The sequence below is a fragment of the Homo sapiens genome, chromosome 21 (genome assembly GCF_000001405.40).
Source record: "Homo sapiens chromosome 21, GRCh38.p14 Primary Assembly".
NCBI classification, from domain to species: domain Eukaryota; kingdom Metazoa; phylum Chordata; class Mammalia; order Primates; family Hominidae; genus Homo; species Homo sapiens.
In genome coordinates this window covers 29,021,551-29,040,252 of record NC_000021.9, presented here as the reverse complement: position 1 = coordinate 29,040,252, position 18,702 = coordinate 29,021,551, and the positions used below count along the sequence as shown (strand labels likewise).

At 40.6% G+C, this 18,702-nt stretch overlaps 1 protein-coding gene across 6 annotated transcripts in view, besides 1 other annotated feature; it reads right to left on the bottom strand.

Moving 5' to 3' along the window:
* The window catches only part of USP16 (ubiquitin specific peptidase 16), a 29,821-nt gene extending 14,236 nt beyond the window's left edge, over nucleotides 1–15,585 (bottom strand). The window contains exons 1-10 of one of the 6 annotated variants that reach the window (NM_001032410.2): nucleotides 15,476–15,585; nucleotides 14,482–14,544; nucleotides 12,279–12,380; nucleotides 9,480–9,658; nucleotides 5,313–5,416; nucleotides 3,879–3,982; nucleotides 2,790–2,977; nucleotides 1,823–1,918; nucleotides 1,097–1,227; nucleotides 685–772 (exon numbers count right to left, since the gene is read on the bottom strand). In NM_001032410.2, the coding sequence (NP_001027582.1) occupies nucleotides 685–772; nucleotides 1,097–1,227; nucleotides 1,823–1,918; nucleotides 2,790–2,977; nucleotides 3,879–3,982; nucleotides 5,313–5,416; nucleotides 9,480–9,658; nucleotides 12,279–12,339 (951 nt within the window). In that variant the 5' untranslated portion in view covers nucleotides 12,340–12,380; nucleotides 14,482–14,544; nucleotides 15,476–15,585. Of the gene's footprint in view, nucleotides 1–684; nucleotides 773–1,096; nucleotides 1,228–1,822; nucleotides 1,919–2,789; nucleotides 2,978–3,878; nucleotides 3,983–5,312; nucleotides 5,417–9,479; nucleotides 9,659–12,278; nucleotides 12,381–14,481; nucleotides 14,545–15,175; nucleotides 15,426–15,475 lie in introns of those variants that run through there. The other 5 variants (XM_017028258.2, XM_017028257.2, XM_017028259.2 and 2 more) reach the window with 5 other exon arrangements.
* Nucleotides 15,320–15,709: an enhancer, noted in NCBI's record as "active region_18328". NCBI's record gives its function as "activates an Ori minimal core promoter by ATAC-STARR-seq in GM12878 lymphoblastoid cells {active_cell/tissue: GM12878}" and the evidence as "EXISTENCE:reporter gene assay evidence [ECO:0000049][PMID:35858748]".

Below are 18,702 nucleotides of genomic sequence, written 5' to 3'. Positions count from 1 at the left end.
CCATTATTTCTGGGGGACCTTAAACTAGGTACTGAACTTCTCTACAGCCTAGATTCTCAATCTATGGAATAGGAAAAAATCACAGTATCCACCTCACAGAAACTTTGTGAGAACGAAGTAAGGGAATTAATACAAAACACTGAAAACAGTGATTGGCATAAAAATAAGTGCGAAATAAATATTAGTTATTATCACTATTATTAGTACTCATTAATTCATACCCCAAATACATTTTTTTATATCCTGGCAAGTAACAAAAATTTTAAAATGCAACCAATGTTCCCTGACTCTTACAAAATGAAAATACTTCCTAGGTTCAAAAAACAGTATTAAATCAGACTCAGAATTAAAAGTAAGGGTGTGCTGCACCTGGGTTTGGGAGAAACAATTTCCAATATTTGGCAGCTCTCTTCGTATAGGTTAGTACAACAGAATCTTTAAAGAACATTAATGCTGTAAACATCAACTAAACTTAAGCCATCATGAGAAAGAGAATTACTGCTAATTCTCTGGATTCATTCTAATGGTGAAAACATACTAGTTGAAAAAGCTGGTGTAAGAAAAAATTTTAAAGTATGATGGCCTTAATAACTAGCTTTCATTGTTTTAACTCGTAAGATATCAAATGAGACAGAAAGCTTATGAAGATAAGATCATAAAATACAATGGTCATAACATGCTAACTTGGTGTTCTTCTGCTCTCATCCCATCCAATAAGTAGCGAAGCAGCTCCTGGCTGTCTTGCTGCTGATAGCCTTTAAACCGCACTGCTCTAGAGAAAAACAAAAAGACAGAAAAGCAATCTTCAGTCTACTAAGCTCTGAAGCTATTTTTAGAAAATCTTAGGATCATATCCCAAATCTCAGAGAGTTCTGGTTTCTACAAATTTCCGTTTAGTCCATTAACACCCTTGGGAGATTTAACTATCACATAAAATATATTTTAAAATCCAAATGAAAAAAAACTATGCCTTTTGTATATAGAGGGTTGACTAAATGTAATGCTATTAATATTTTTATATTTTACTATTTAATATTAATATTATTTCTCAGCATCTCACTGAGGCACTGAAAGCACAATCGAAGTGGATACTCACTTTTTACAGACCTGAGAAAAGAGTTCTTTCGGTGTCACAACCCCCTTTTTGGTCTCTTGCATCTCATTAAGAAACTGGCTCATGGCTAAAGTAAGAGGGCCTGGAGGCTCAAGGTTTATTTCTAATGGTTCCTGAATATGGGAAAAGAAATTACTTTCTTCAGTCAAATTCTGGAATCACTGACTTTACTAAAATCTAATTAGTTAACATATACTACCAATGTTCCTGACAGAACTGCCCCATTTAAAAGTTTAAAATGTACATCAAAAGAGATAGAAACTGTTTGGTCACAGACTGTCTTATGCAGAATTCAGCTCTACTATTTTAGTTTTAGATTATCTGGAACACTTACTACCTAAGAATTGAAAGAGCCAAAGCAAAATGTAAATAATAAAAATGGATAAGGTAATATTTATTTGGTTACACAGCTCTTAAGTCACCTTAAAGATGTTAAAAATAATAATGTAAGCCTAAGGCTTCTCAAACATATACACATTCCCAAGAAGGAAGCTTAACACTCGAGCATAGAAAAACAGAGCACACACACAGCAAACAGATGTAATGCCTCCTTATAACTTCTATTAGCCTGAAACTGTTTAAGTTAGTAGCCTAAAGTAAAACAAAACAAACAAAAACAGTGGAAATGAGTGTCAGTTATTTAAAATAATTTAGAAAACACACATTCAGAGAGGAAAGTTACAGACTAGAAAAGTTTAAAGAACATACTGTTAATGCCAAATCAGGTGGTTCAATTTTTACAATTGTTCCAGACATTTTCACTTCTTTTAGTAGTTCTCTAAGCACTGGTGTTTGTGACAAGTTCTAGAATGTAGGGTGAAAAAAAAAGAGAAAAATTATTTAAAGGCAAATCAACTCTGACACTTCTTAAGTGTCTATTCTATCAAAACAGAAAATCATGACCAACACTGAAAACTCTATACTTGGAAAATGAAAAGTTACAGATGCTTCTCTCCCTACTCTATTTGGGTCATAACTACTTCAGTTCTGAGCTTATTCATCACCTCAGTGGGGCATTCTCCCACCACCCAATCAGAAGTAGCTATCCCCAATCCTCCACCATGACTCTCTCACAACCACTTACCACTACCTGTAGGTACGTATTTGCTTCTATATGAGGTTATCCTGTGTTTCCTCCACCCAAGTGCAAGCTCCATGAAAGAAGCAGCAATATTTCTTTCAAACCCACTGCACCCGAGTGCTCACCAAACTCTCTTACTGTCATGCAATAAAACTTTCCTTAAGTTTTCTTTGGCCAGGCATGGTGGCTCACGCCTGTAATCCAAACACTTTGGGTGGCCAAAGGGGGTGGACGGCTTAAGCCCAGGAGTTCAAGACTAGCCTAGGCAACATGGCGAAACCCTGTCTCTACAAAAGATACAAAAACTAGCTGGGAGTGGTGGCGCATGCCTGTAGTCCCAGCTACTCTGGAGGCTAAGGTAGGAGGACTGCTTGAGCCCAAGAGGTAGAGGCTGCAGTGAGCCACGATCGTGCCACTGCACTCCAGCCGAGTGACAGAGTGAGACCCTGTCTCAAAAAAAAAAAAAAAAAAAAAAAAAGTTTTCTTTGGATACATAGAAATAAATTACTCAGGTGGAAAAAACTCAATAATGTAAGTAGCAGATTCTATGAGGAAAAGGACAGCTTTTTTAAAGGGAAAAAAATGACAATGTACCTGCATAACTGCATTGAAGAAACATGTGTTTCCCAAATTACTGAGTCCTTTCACGGTTATTTGGCAAGGAGAATTCATGGGAGGATTCTCTTTAGCCATGTTTTCCTTCTTTTCTCTCTCTTGTTCATTCTTACTCTCTTTTTCTAATTTTTTATTTTCAAGTTCAATATTTCCATTATCTTTCTCTGCTTTAAAAAAAGAAAAGATTTAGCAAAATGTGTAATACAGTCATATCGAATGCAGAAGTATACTTGGGAAACAGTACTAGAGTTTGTGAGTTTACCTGAAGTCATTCTTTCCAACCCACCCACCCATTTGATTTTAAATAGATACAGGTAAATTGCCATCCAGAAAAAAAACACAAAACCCAGTAAACAAAAAATACTCAGACCTAAAGTAAGCATTAGTTTGATAAATGAAACCAAACAGTATGTGCTTTGGTATAAATCTCCCTTTTTTACTGCACGAAAATTCTTTACAAATGAACACATCTTACCTTGTGAAATTAAGAATATAAAACAATCAAGAACATGGACATGAAATAAATTTTTTAATGAATTCTGTGGGTCAAAAATCAATCCTAAAGTAAAAAACAAATAATTCTGGCTCTGACAAAGATACTTGTGACAATAAAAACTTAAAAAACATGCTTAAAGCAAATGCTGTATGTCAGCCAATTAATTTAATTATGCATGGAAAGAACCTAAGAAATATCTGACCATTAGAAGGAATCACAAATGCTTTATGTTATCCCAGCAGACAGACTGAAATCTTGCTATTACAAAATGTACGACAGTAAGAACAGTGTAAGGCAGGTCTATAGTAAGCCTGGCTAGGGTTATGGGAATTACCTTAGTCTTAGCATTAATGGCCATTACCTTAGTCTATGGCCTTCATCACATCTGACTAGATCATTTCTCATATCCCTTCTAATACCTTATAGTTAAACCAAAAATAGTTTCATAGTTTGCAATCAACCATAACTAATGTTACTCAGCTGTATGTAATGCTAGGTAGTATAACAAATCTAAGTATCAGCAGATACACAAATCGACATTTGGTGTATATTAAAGAAACAAATTATTTTACCTGGCTTTGGAGTTGTAATGCTGGCTTGTTTTCTGACATAATCAACCACTTGACCCAACTGGTTTGAACTACAATACTGGACCTCATTATCACATACGTAACACCTGTGACCCAAAAATCAGAGATGAAAAATGACAAAATGACAACTAAAAAGGGGGAGACAAATAATAATTCCTGGAATCAAAGTGTGTAACTGCCAACTTATTCTATTAAAGAAACCGAACGTAAAAATTCTGTTTTCCTGAAGAAGACTATGCATATTAACTCTGGTTTATTATTAATAAAATTAGCCAGAATTATGGCTGCATATAAGTAGTATGATGAAATACTCCAAACGTTTTACTTTACTGGTTATAACATTGAAGTCAAAAGATTGTTTACATATATTTTAAAATACAGAATAACACTAACAAAAATAACAACTTTTTTTTGTTTGTTTTGTTTTTTGGTTTTTTTTGAGACGGAGTCTCGCTCTGTTGCCCAGGCTGCGTGCAGTGGCAGGATCTCGGCTCACTGCAACCTCCAGCTCCCTGGTTCATGCCATTCTCCTACCTCAGCCTCCCGAGTAGCTGGGACTACAGGCACCCACCACCATGCCCAGCTACTTTTTTTTTGTATTTTTAGTAGAGATGGGGTTTCAACGTGTTAGCCAGACAAAAGTAACAACTTTTACAATTGAAAGATGCCATTCAAGCCAGGCACGGTGGCTCATGCCTGTAATCCCAGCACTTTGGGAGGCTGAGGCATGCGGATCACAAGGGGATCACGAGGTCAGGAGTTTGAGACCAGCCTGACCAACATGGTGAAACCCCGTCTCTACTAAAAATACAAAAATTAGCCGGGCGTGGTGGTGCATCCCTGTAATCTCAGCTACTCGGGAGGCTGAGGCAGGAGAATTGCTTGAACCTGGGAGGCGGAGGTTGTGGTGAGCCGAGATCACACCACTGCACTCCAGCCTGGGCGACAGAAAGATTCCGTCTCAAAAAAAAAAAAAAGATGTCATTCAGTGAAGACTACTGTGAAAATGATTTTTAAGACGTAAAAATCTGTTTTAATGATGTTACAATGCAGCATCTATAACATACCAGACTGACATTTATTTTCATGCAAATTCATAGCCAAAATTTTATTACAATTTTATCTGAAATTTGTTCTTAGCGTCCCTATCTCCACTATATGCCTTATAATATCACAAGCAAGAAAAACAAAGGGGTAAAGATTCTTAAGTCTTCTATGTTACAATGTTTGTGCTTGTGCAAACGTCCAAGTAAAAGCTTCTCATAATACTGCATTCTTTAGCTTTGTGAAAGTGATGGTATTTTAAAACATACTACAAAAATTTTAAATTGCTTTCTTCTTAAACATATTTAAACATTTCCATTCTCTAATATTTCAAATAATTTCCACCCAAGAGGCAGAGGAACTGAAACTCACCATACACTCCAGTTGTCCAAACTAAGAACCAGACAGTGAGGTTCAGATCTTGGCGTCAGATAGTGCTTCAAGGCATGCTGCTCCTGAGAATTTCTGCCACAGCCCTAAAAAAATCATAATCATAAACCTCAAAGCCATAAAAACTCAGCAAGAGGGGAGAATGCATAATCTATCATAAACAAGGAAGTGGCTCATGAAATTCTGCCATTCTTACAATCTTGAAAAGAAAATGTTAGACTCTAGAATCAATATTTTGTTAAAACTTACATATGCACAGGCAACTGAGAACATTTAAGTCAACAAGTATTTAGAAAACCATGCACTCGCTAGGCGCGGTGGCTCACACCTGTAATCCCAGCACTTTGGGAGGCTGAGGCCAGGGGTGGGATCACCTGAGGTCAGGAGTTCGAGACCAGCCTGACCAACATGGTGAAACCCCATCTCTACTAAAAATACAAAAATTAGCCGGGTGTGGTGGCGCACATCTGTAATCCCAGCTAATTAGGAGGCTGAGGCAGGAGAACTGCTTGAACTCAGGAGGCGGAGGTTGCAGTGAGCCAAGATCACGTCTGGGCCTGCACTCTAGCCTGGGCAACAAGAGCAAAAACTCCATCTCAAAATAAAAAAAAAAAAAAAAAGAAAACCATGCACTCAAAGTACTCTTCTTGTCCAACTTTCCAGCCCAGATTAAACCACACTAATGCAGTCAAGTCTGGTTTGGATTCCTTAACAGTCTCCTAAACATTCCCCTAACTTCAGCCTCCTTCTTCACATGCATATTCTTTCAGTTTAGTGTTCCTAAAACAAAGCTCTGTTCATACACCATTCAAAAATTATGAATTGCACTCTTAAACTCCTAATAAACAAACCTGACATCCTCTGACCCCGACATATCTCTCCAGTGTTAACTCCCACATTCTCTTATTCACATACCAACGACCAGCTAAAAACACACTGAGCGCTTTTCACAACTATGCAATTTTGTTCACATTATTCTATTTATCCAGAATCCTTTATGAACACTGCTACCTAACCAAATCCCACCCACTCTTCAAGATCTTGCTCAAAAGCCACCTCCTCCCAGAAGCCTATACTTATCTCCCAGATGAGAAAATACTGTCTCCTTCCTTTAAACAAATTCTATAAAACATGGCATGAATTCCTAGTGGCATTCCTTATTTTTTACCTTGTACTAACGTTATTGATATTTATATCCTTTCTCACCTGGTCTATAAATCCCAAAGGCTCAAGGCAGTAGACTTAATCTATTACCAAATATTCTAGAACACAGGAGGTGGTCAAAAAACACTATTTAAACAAGTAAATGGGAGACTTTTACCTAAAAGATGTATAGGCTTATTCATAAAAGAACATGACCTAAACTTCTGCTTTCAGCTAGTCAGATCACTGCTGAGAAACATATCTTCACTGTGTATCTACTGGAACCAGTCTATCAACTTTTGGATCACAGTACAACAACCGGTCGTGTTTCCATTGCCGCTAAATATATACTTTGGAGAAGAAATATACATTGGTAATTTCTAATTCCTTAACTATGATCCCAAACACTATTCGCTTAATTTATCCCACTGAACATTTAATTACAAAATAAATGAATTAACATTTGATACTATTTTTGAAAATTACAACATCATTTGAGATCATTTGAAACATAGTTGTCTTGAGACAACAGTTAAGAATCATTAGCTAACAGTGCCAAAGGTATCTAGTGGGAAAAAAGTTAGCAGTTAATACTGACATGTCTTATTCTTACAAATTAAAAAGGTAGCACAAAAATTTGTAACACAAAATATATTCTGAAAAACTGAAATAGCAAAGCATATTCATACTCACCATATGTATTTAAAAGGTTACAATTAAACCTTTCAAATACAAGTAAACAGTATCTTTTCTAACATACAGATTTTTTTAACTGACCACAATGAGATATCAGTATATAACTATCATGATGGCTAAAATAAAAAACTGTGACAATTGTAAATGCTGGCAAAAATGAAGAAAAAGTGAAAGTGAATCATTCATACACTGCTAGTAAGAATATAAAAGGTAGAGTCACTGTGAAAAAACAGTTTGGCAGTTTGGCAGTTTCTTAAAAAACTAAACATTAAATTGCCATAGGACCCAGCAATTGCACTCTTGGGCATTTATCCTAGAGAAATGAAATCTAAGTTCACACAAAAACCTGTACACAAATGTTAACAGCAGCTTTATTTGTAATCACCAAAAAATGGGATCAGCCCAGATGTTGTCATTCGACAGGTAAACAGTAAAAACAAGCTGTTGTACTATATGCCATAAAATACGCTCAGTAATAAAAAAAGAGCAAACTTGATACACACAGCTTTGATAAATCTTTGGGTGATTATGCTGAGTGAAAAAGCCAATCCTGGCTGGGCACGGTGGCTCACACCTATCATCTTAGCACTTTGGGAGGCCCAGGGGGGTAGATCACTTGAGCCCAGGAGTTCAAGACCAGCCTGGGCAGTATACCAAAACCGCATCTTTAGAAAAAATACAAAAATTAGCCAGGAGTGGTGGCATGCAGGTGTAGTCCCAGCTACTCAGGAGGCTGAGGTGGGAGGATCACTTGAGCCTGGGAGGTGAAGGCTGCCGTGAGCCGTGATTATACCGCTGAACTCCAGCCTGGGTGAGAGAGTGAGACCCTGCCTCAAAAAAAGAAAAAAGCAAAAGCCAATCCCCAAATGTTGCACACTGTATGACTCCATTTACATAACATTTTTGATGAAATGACTAAATTTAGAAATACAGAATAGAATGGTAGTTGCCAGGGGCTGCAGAGAGTGGTGGCAGTAGGGAGGTGGGTATGATTATACAAGGGCAACACAAGAGATCCCTGTGATGTTCAACTATTTAGTATCGTGACTGTGGTGGTGAATAATCTACACAGGTGACAAAAGTGTACAGAATGTAATACACATGTACACATACACACATGCACAAAAAAAGAAGTCAAACTCAGGAGATCTGATTGCGATTGGTGTGTTGTTTCAATCTCAATATCCTGGTTGTGATATTATACTCATTTTGTAAAATGTTACCACTGGGGGACTCTGAGAAAAATGCATAGGGATTTCTCTGTATTATCTGTTAGATCTGCACATGATCTATAATAACCTCAATAAGATTTTCAATTTGAAAACGTGAAAAAACAAAAAATCCTGGCTGGGCGCAGTGGCTCACGCCTGTATTCCTAGCACTTTGAGGGAGCCAAGGTGAGTGGATCACTTGAAATCAGGAGTTTGAGACCAGCCTGGCCAACATGGCAAAACCCTGTCTCTACTAAAAATACAAAACTCAGCCAGGCGTGGTGGCACACACCTGTAATTCCAGCTACTTGGAGACTGAGGCAGGAAAACTGCTTGAACCTGGGAGGTGGAGGCTGCCATGAGCCAAGATTGTGCCACTGCACTCCAGCCTGGGTGACAGAGTGAGACCCCATCTCAAAAAAACAACAAAAAACTGGCTATCTGCCTGATCTTGAAGCCTCATGACTTCATGACTACTGCCTAGTAGCCCAATTTCCTAACATATAAGCTTAACTTGCCACCACTAAGGGTAACTGAGAGACCCTGACTTTAGTACCACGGTAATAACTGTGAGCTGGTAGAGTAGATACTGTGATGTGCCAGCCAGACATGCCCTCACTGCCAAAGATCAAGGTACTACTCATTCCCCCAGGTGCTGAGAATGTGGCCGGCTGAGAGCTCACAGTCTAGTCCATCCATCCCCAGGAATCAGTCTCAACAAAAGGGAGCTGCCTTGCCCAAGGTTACTTCCTGCTCTAGGGGCAGGCCACATCCAATGACTGGTCTATGCACAGGTAGAAAGGTCTAGCTCCTTGCCTCAATTCAGGCAAGAGATCACTGTGGGATTGGCTGAGACCCTGTTGCCACTGCCTCTTCATTCAACTTCTCCCTATGCTTAATCTTGCTTCCCTTACTTTTACTGGTGTGGTACCAGAGAACACTCCACCACCTATACACACATCTCAGAACTGGTTCTCCAGAGAACATGATCTATGTTACTAGTATCCTTTTATCCATACTGTACTTTCAGGTAATACCTTCTAAAGTAAGTTCAAAGAGTTTTCTAAAATCCCATATTGATCTTAAAACGTAAGCATACCTGATGGCCACATTTAAGACACAGCCAAACTGAAGGCTTTTCTTCTGTTTCTTCTTCAGCTTTATCTTTCACTTTATTGTCAGTCTTACAGTCTTGGCAGATATTCCATTCCACATTCACTAAAGCCTTTTTCAAATTACCTTGTTCCAATCCTTTTCTAATGTGTCTGCACACAGGTTCTATTAAAACAAATAATAGACAAGGAATATATAAGGTCAAAAATGACTTTCTTCAGTTAATCTCAAAACTTACCCTCGATTCACATTTCAAAAATGAAATTTACTCTATAAACTGTTAAGATATTCTGAACTTAAAATTGTTTGATATTTGAATAATATGAGATAAATATGTGAGAAAGAGATTTGACACAAATTTGTGAAGTTTCGCTTTCTTGAAGTCCTAAATATAACCACCACTGTCCCCCACTACAAATTCATTTCAATTTATTTGGCTATTTCCTTTAAATTAAGGCCCTTTATCATACTTATGATTCTCTTTATCTTTAAAGATTTGTAGAAAACGTCCTTCATTTAGTCAATAATACACCTACTATAGGGCAGGCACTGTGCTAGACGCTCAGGAGCCCAAAATTGACCAAGTCACAGCTGTTTTCTTTGAGTAGCTCACATTCTGGAAGGAAAGGCAGCTAAATAAATTAATGTATAAGAATCTCCGAAACATGGTATAGCAGCACAAGCAGAGAAGGCTAAAGTCACCAAAAGTTTCACAGGGGAGGTAACATCTGTGCAATCCTAGAAGATAATAATAGTAATAAAAATTGCTGATATTAATTAAATATGTCCTATGAACTTTGTTAAATGTTTTGAATACATTATCCCATTTAATCCTTACAATCACCCTAGAAGACACTATTATTCCCAATGACAAATGAGAAAACTAAGATTTAGTACCCACATAACTACTGAGTATCTATGCCAGAATTTAGACTCAAGTCTTTCAGACTTCATAGCTCACACTTTAAACTGCGACCTCAGGGAGTGAAGGGCAATCTGAAAATGCCCATGCCAAGAACAAAAACATGTGAAAGTGCATGCTGTCTCCCCAGATGATGGAGTTACACAATGTGCAAAAATGAGCAGTTGAACCTGAGGCTGAAAACTCTGTTGGGGCCAAGATAAGTAAAGAGCTTTGCAAACCACTCTACAGTGCTGAGTTGTTCCAGGAACACTGGAGGTTTAGAAACTAGTCAAGTGGCATAATTAGCTTTATGTCCAATGATCTTGCACCAAGAAAAGAAATATAAATGCAAATGGGATCAGGTGGAAAAACTACCAAATCTCAGTAGTCAAAGAAATACAAACTAGAAAAAGAAGGTACCCTTTTTTTTCTTTTTTCTTTTTGAGACGGAGTCTTGCTCTGTTGCCCAGGCTGGAGTGCAGTGGCACAATCTCGGCTCACTGCAAGCTCCGCCTCCCAGGTTCACGCCATTCTCCTGCCTCAGCCTCCCAAGTAGCTGGGACTACAGGCGCCCGCCACCACGCCCAGCTAATTTTTTGTATGTTTAGTAGAGACGGGGTTTCACCGTGTTAGCCAGGATGGTCTCGATCTCCTGACCTCGTGATCTGCCCGCCTTGGCCTCCCAGAGTGCTGGGATTACAGGCGTGAGCCACCACACCTGGTCAGAAGGTAACCTTTTTTAACTACCAAATCAGCACAGATGTTTACAGATGATACTAACCAGTGCCGATGAAGGTTCAGGGAAATGGGCACTTTACTACGCTAATAGGGGGCCTGGAAATTAGTAAAACATTTCTGGATGGCAATTTAGCAACAGGATCAAAAGAGTCTTAAAAATGTTTACACCCTTCGATTCAAAAATTATGTATGTGTATTAGGAAAATATTTGGATGTACAGAGAGATTTAGCTATAAAGTTGTTTACTACTGAGCCATTCATAATACTAAAAAGTTAAAGATTACCTAAATCTGTAACAGTAGAAAATTATCTAAATAAATTATGAAATATACATCCATGGTCTTTGCTAAATGCAATAATATGCCATTAAAAATGTTGTTGAAGGTCGGGCGCGGTGGCTCACGCCTGTAATCCCAGCACTTTGGGATGCTGAGGAAGCGGATCACTTGAGGTCAGGAGTTCAAGACCAGCCTGGTCAACATGGTGAAACCCTGTCTCTACTAAAAATACAAAAATTAGCTGGGTGTGGTGGAGCACACCTGTAATCCCAGCTACTCATGAGGCTGAGACAGGAGAATCGCTTGAACCCTCAAGGCAAAGGCTGCAGTGAGCTGAGATCACACTACTGCACTCCAGCCTGGGCAACAGAGCCAGACTCCGTCTCAGGAAAAAAAACAAAAAAGATGTAGAAAGTCAGGTGCAGTGGCTCTCACGTGTAATCCTAGCACTTTTGGAGGCCAAGGCAGGCGGATCACTTGAGGCCAGGAGTTCAAGACCAGCCTGACCAACACAGGGAAACCCCGTCACTATTAAAAAAAAAAAAAAAAATTAGCTGGCTGTGGTGGGATGTGTCTGTAATCCCAGCTACTCAGAGGCTGAGGCACGAGAGAACCGTTTGAACCTGGGAGGCGGAGGTTGCAGTGAGCTGAGATTGCACCACTGCACTCCAGCCTGGGCAACAGAGCGAGATTCTTTCTCAAAAAAAAAAAAAAAAGTAGAAGACTATTAAATGACATATAGATACAAACATTATATTAAAATGCAGATAATATAACAATAATATGCAGCTTTATACCATTTTTACATTTTAAAACATATTCATTTAGAGATATAAACATTAAAGATTCAATCAATGAAATATACCTAAAGTTTCAGAGGAATCATCGATTGGAACAGTTTTTCCCTTTGTCCGTTTCTTTCCCATGTTGGCACTTTATGGATTACTTACTGACACAAAATAACAATCTAGAAAACAAGATAAAGTTAGCTTGACCAAAAAAAAAAGTATGTCTTATATTTCTCTAGGAGACAGTAATATAACTAAGCCACGTATATTATGCATGTCTATCACATTGTAATTTACAAAGACCAATCACATATAATCATCTAATTTTCAACAGGAACTCAAGTAGATAGAATAGTTATCTCCCGTTTTTCATAGCATAGGAAAGTGATTCTTAGCAAGCTTAAGAGGTTTTCAATATATGTAAAGGTCAGGAGAGAACCTTGGTCATCTTACACAGATCTTGAACAGTCTCAGAACTTGATACTCTTAGGAAGGTGACTCCTCACTACATACATGTGAAATAATGGCAGCACTTTAATCAGAAAACTGATTTGCTTCCCTTCTAAGCTACCTTTCTTAGCTCTGCAGTCTATGCAAATTAAACTGATAATTTCTCTAATAAAAATTAAAAATAATTCTAACAACCTCCTGAAGGGAGTTAGAAAATTTCCAAAATGGCTTCAAAGCCAAATACAAAAAGTGATACACTGTTGTACATTTTCCACACCAGGATTTCCTATGCGTATCAGCTAAATGAAAATTGATTACAACTGCATTCTCAACTATTTACATTATTATATTATTGCCAAAACCACTTTGGAAGGCTATTTGACAAATCTAGCTGCACATCAAATCTTCACTTTTTTAGTCAACAATTCAAACTTAGAAAACATGAAAAGTGCTAAAAGTACATACAGGTCTACCTAATTATATAGAATTATAGATTTTAGAAATAAATACATAAAATAGCACCCAAGTTCTTGCCTCCAATCCAACTCACTCTAATCGATGTGGGAGTTCAGTACTAGATTCATCTCCCAGTTATGCCATTTTTATCATATCACTCTCTTGATCGGAAGCATTTAACAGTTTCCTGGACCACACTCCCTAAACTTTGCACTCATAGGCCTTTATAAATTCGGCCCCATTGCTCGGCTAATCCTGACTTTCTATTACACCTCAACAACAACAAAAAAAACCACTAAAGTTATAACTATATAGTGCTTTTGATCTTCAAAGCCCTTTCACAAACATTATCACATCGGATTTTCATAACAACACTTTAAATAGAGGCATTTCACTCAAGGAGAAAAGTCAGGAAAAAAAAATGGTGAAAGATCACACAAACGATGAGCTAAAAGGCAGATGTTGTCTGGGTGCGGTGGCTCACGCCTGTAATCCCAACACTTTGGGAGATCGAGGTGGGAGGACGGCTTGAGGCCAGAAGTTCAAGACTAGCCTGGGCAACAAAGCGACACTCTATCTCTACCAAAAAAAAAAAAAAAAAAAAAAAAGGTAAAATGCAGATGTTTGGGTTTCAAGACCACCACTTTTTACCTGCCAATCAAGTCTGTCTCTTTTTTTTTTTTTTTTTTTGAGACGGAGTCTTGCTCTGTCGCCCAGGCCGGAGTGCAGTGGCCCGATCTCGGCTCACTGCAACCTCTGCCGCCCGGGTTCAAGTGCTTCTCCTGCCTCAGCCTCCCGAATAGCTGGGATTACAGACGCCCACCACCACACCCGGCTAATTTTTGTATTTTTAGTAGAGACGGGGTTTCACCATCTTGGCCATGCTGGTCTGAACTCCTGACCTCGTGATCCACCTGCCTCGGCCTCCCAAAGTGCTGGGATTACAGGCGTGAGCCACAGCACCTGGCCAAGTCCTTCTCTTGTACTCCACTCCAAAACACTTTGTACCCTCCCCGCCTTGATGTCTTTGATTTCTAGCTGTAATATTCTATCTAAATCTTACCAATCTTGGAAGCTCTCCATTTCAAGGAAGCCTTAGACAATCATTCTACTCTAAATAAACCTCTCCACTGAACTTCCCCAGTATTTATGGTATGCTCTAGTCATCTTGTCCCCTTATCCCATATTCTAGTGAATTTCTTAAATCTTTAATCTGGGTTTATGTTATTTCTGTAAGCAGAATCTAAAGTTCTTAGAAAAATAAATGGTTTCAAGCACAGTTTTGGAACTGCCTATAATATCTAGCATAATGTTAGTACATAGCAGGTCCTGAAGAAATACTTCTTGCATTGAAATAGAAAAATAGAATAGTACCTGAGGCATAAAGGATGATTACAAGGTGCAAAGGTAGGTACATAAGAATGAAGCAAACAAGTTCTGGTGAAAAAGAAAAGGGTGAAAAATGAGAAGTCAGAAGTCTGCAGTAGTGAAGACAGCACTAGTAAATCTGGTTTGAGGATTGCAGCAGCTTAGACTCCATAGGAAAACTTGAAAGACGAATTGTTAATTACTGCAGGCAGAGGACAGAGGGGTCACTCCAGTGCTGCGGAAAGAGCCTCAGTAAAGTTCTGACAACTATAAAGGCAACTAATGAGTCATGAGGAGAGCATATTGTGACTTCCATCAGCTATAAAACATCAATAAACTTAATACACTTTTCAAGTAGTGTCATCGGATGAGCATTAACGTCTTAGTGAAATGACTCTTCGCAGGACTCCATACAAAATCTAAATCAAAGATAGTCTTGCCGGTTCTCATATTATTCCAAGTCTCTTCACTCTCTGCCCTCCCAGTCTTCCCCTGCCTACTCGGTTCCATTAAAAATGTAAGCGTGTGGAAAACTTTGTCAGCAGGTGTTAACGTGGCTTTCAAGTTTTGCGTATATCAATCCCCTCCTAGATATAGTCAATTGGATAAGTGACAGATCCTGCTTTTCCTACCAGCCGTATGAACACGGCTGCAAATCCAGCTCCAACCCATAGGGAAGTCCCTGCCACGCGCCACCCACCCATTTGCTCGGCGCCTGCCACACCTTCCCTCTCCTCCCCTTCTAACTGCTCCGATCCCACGGGGGAACCTCTGGGTCCACGGGGTCGAGAAGGCCGCCAGCAGCGGCATCTCATTGGCCAGCTTCTGGAACTGACAGAACATGCAGCCAATGAGATCGCAGTACCGGAAAGTAGCCGGGTTACGTGCTTAAGGAGAGCGGCCTTCAAGAAGAGAACGAAGTTGGGGCGGAAAACAGGAGCTCTCCCAGCGCAGAAAGCCAGGCGAGCGACGACTGCCAGGCAGTGGGACCAGAACTCACCCACGGCGACAGAGCCCATAACTGCATCCCCTCATGGGCCTTTGGGCTGGGCAGCCAGCTCCGTCTTCCTCCTGGTGACGAATTGAGAGCGACGGAGTCGAAGCCAGAGTGACCCCTGGAAAGCAATAACTTCCGGAACGCGGCATTATGGGAAGTGGCTAGGCCACCACCACCCCACCCCCACCTCCCGGGACCATCGGCTCTGACGCTAGTAAATCTGCGCCTGCGTGCGGCTTGCGCCGGATGTTCGGGTTTAGGGGTTTGGTTGTCAATGGGTTTTCTCGTCTCTGACATAACCACGAAGTTATATAAATGCTCCTGAAGTGTGGGCATCCGGTGGTGGTCTGAGCCTTGGAGTTTCCTAGATGGTTACCTTTCTGGAACACATTATATTTGGAGCTAAAAGGGGGAACGCTTAAATTTGTTTCCGTAATTCTGTCCTGTCGACTTCTAAAACTGAGTACCTAAGTTGTCTTGAATTTACCTTCCTGCACCATGTCAGAATAAAAAACGCAGCGAGTGATTTTTTGTTTGTTTGAGACGGAATATCCCTCTGTCGCCCAGGCTGGAGTGCATTCTTCTGCCTCAGCCTCCCGAGTAGCTGGGACTACAGGCGCACGGCACCACGCCCAGCTAAAATTTTTGTATTTTTAGTAGAGACGGGGTTTCACCAATTGGCCAGGCTGGTCTCCAACTCCTGACCTTGTGATGCGCCCGCCTCGGCCTCCCAACGTGCTGGGATTACAGGCGTGAGCCACCGCGCCCGGCCGCGAGAGTGAATTTTTAAAGCAAAACCGAAAGACGGTGTCAGATAAATTGCGGGGGAGGAGGGGATTTTCAAATATTTACTGTCCATTCTTTGAAAATTTGTAAGTGCGAGCCCTGGCGCGGTGGCTCACCCCTGTAATCCCAACACTGGGAGGCCGAGGCGGGTGGATCACGTGAGGTCAGGAGTTCGAGACCAGCCTGGCCAACGTGGTGAAATCCCGTCTCTACTAAAAATACAAAAAATTAGTCGGTCGTGGTGGCGGGCGCCTGTAATCCCAGCTATTCGGGAGGCTAAGGGGGAGAATCGCTTGAAGTCTGGAGGCAGAGGTTGCAATGAGCCAAGATCACTCCATTGCACTCCAGCCTGGGCAACAAGAGCAAAACTCCCTCTCAAAAAGAAAAAAAGAAAATATGTAAGTGCACACTTTGTGCCAAGCCTTTCCTCAAATGAATTAAACATAGGCCTCTCTGCCCTGGAGTCTTAGTTTAGTAGAGAAGATAGTAATCGCTACCGTGGGGGTCGGGGGAGTTGCAGATAGCTATAGAAAAATAGATATGTAAACAGGTAATTCACCATAAAAGAACAATTGGTCATAAAATAAATGTCCATCCTTACTAATCAGATAAAAGGAGTTTAAGATGGTGGCATACTAACCACCAGAGTAACATTTGGTTAAATTTGGGGGAAAACTAGCTCTCTTGCTTTTTACTGCTGAGATAATTTTTGTTTTATTTACTTATTTATTTATTTATTGAGACCGGGTTGCACTCTGTTACCCAGGCTGGAGTGCAGTGGCACGACCTCAGCTCACTGCAACCTCCACCTCCCGATTCTCCCACCTCACCCTCCCCAGTGGCTGGGATTATAGGCACGTGCCACCCCACCACACAGCTAACTTTTGTATTTTTTTGGTAGAGGCAGGGTTTCAGCATATTGGCCAGGCTGGTCTTGAACTCCTGGCCTCAAGTGATCCACCTGCCTCGGCCTCCCAAAATGCTGGATTACAGGCATAAGCCACCGGACCCGGCTTAGTTTCATCTTTCTCTGTATTCTGACAACATTATGACATTACAGTCCAAGAGATATTGGGCTGGTCCTTGTTTGGTCTCTGGTGATTTAGATGAGGCAGGACTGAGCCCCCACGAATGTATTATCTCAAAAAGTTAGTAGCAGCTACTGTGCAAAGTTCGAAGGCCCAAGTCAAATCCTGGGCATATCCACGGATGTGTGGTAGGGCATAGGCTCCAGCTCTCATGCAAAAAAGAACAGGAGTGGGATGAGATAATTTTTTAAAGCTTTCTTCTCCAAGCTCCAGAAATGCAGGCTTTTTGCCCCCACGCATTTTAAAACAGAGCCTTAGGGTCATTGTACCACGTGCTTCCTGTCAGAAAGCCTCTTCCCCCTGATCTTCCGGGGTTGGTATCTTATTGTCATTCTGTTCACACCTTATTTTTAATTTATTTATTTTAGAGACAGGGTCTGGCTTTGTAGCCCAGGCTGAAGTGCAGTCATAGTTCACTGTAACCTTGAATTCCTGTGCTCAAGTGATCCTCATGCCTCAGCCTCGCGTAGCTGGTACTGCAAGTGTGTGCCACCTCATCAGCTAACTTTTTTTTTTTTTTTTTGAAGTCACCGTGTCTCTACAAAAGCCTGCTGCCCAGGCTGGTCTCAAACTCCTGACCTCAAGCGATACTCCAGCCTCAGCCTCCCAAAGCACTAGGATTCCAGGTGTGAGTCACCACACCCAGCTTCTATACATGCCTTAAAAGTCACTTCCTTCCAGTTACAGGGCAATCTAAGTAACACAGTCATCTGATCACTCACATCACCTTACTTTACTTCTCTGCCCAGCAGTTTATCCACTATCTGGTAATTTTCTTTCTTTTTTTTTTTTTTTTGAGACAGAGTCTCACTCTGTTGCCCAGGCTGGAGTGCAGTGGTGCAGTTACAGCTCACTGCAGCCTCAACTTCCCAGGCTCAGGCAATTCTCCTACCTCAGCCTCCTGAGTAGCTGGGACTACAGGCCTACAGGCACACGCCCCCACACCTGGCTAATTTTTGTGTTTTTTGTAGAGTTAGGGGTCTCTGTTGCCCAAGCTGGTCTCAAACCCTGGGCTCAAGTGATCCTCCTTGGTCTCCCAAAGTGCTGGGATTATAGGCATGAGCTATCATACCCAGCCATAATTTTTTTTTTTTTTCTTTTTTTTGAGACGCAGTTTTGCTCTTGTTGCCCAGACTGGAGTGCAATGGCGTGATCTCGGCTCACCACAACCTCCGCCTCCCAGGTTCAAGCAATTCTCCTGCCTCAGCCTCCCCAGTAGCTAGGATTACAGGCATGCACCACCATGTCCAGCTAATTTTTGTATTTTTAGTAGAGACGGGGTTTCTTCATGTTGGTCAGGCTGGTTTTGAATTCCCAACCTCAGGTAATCTGCCCGCCTTGGCCTCCCAAAGTGCT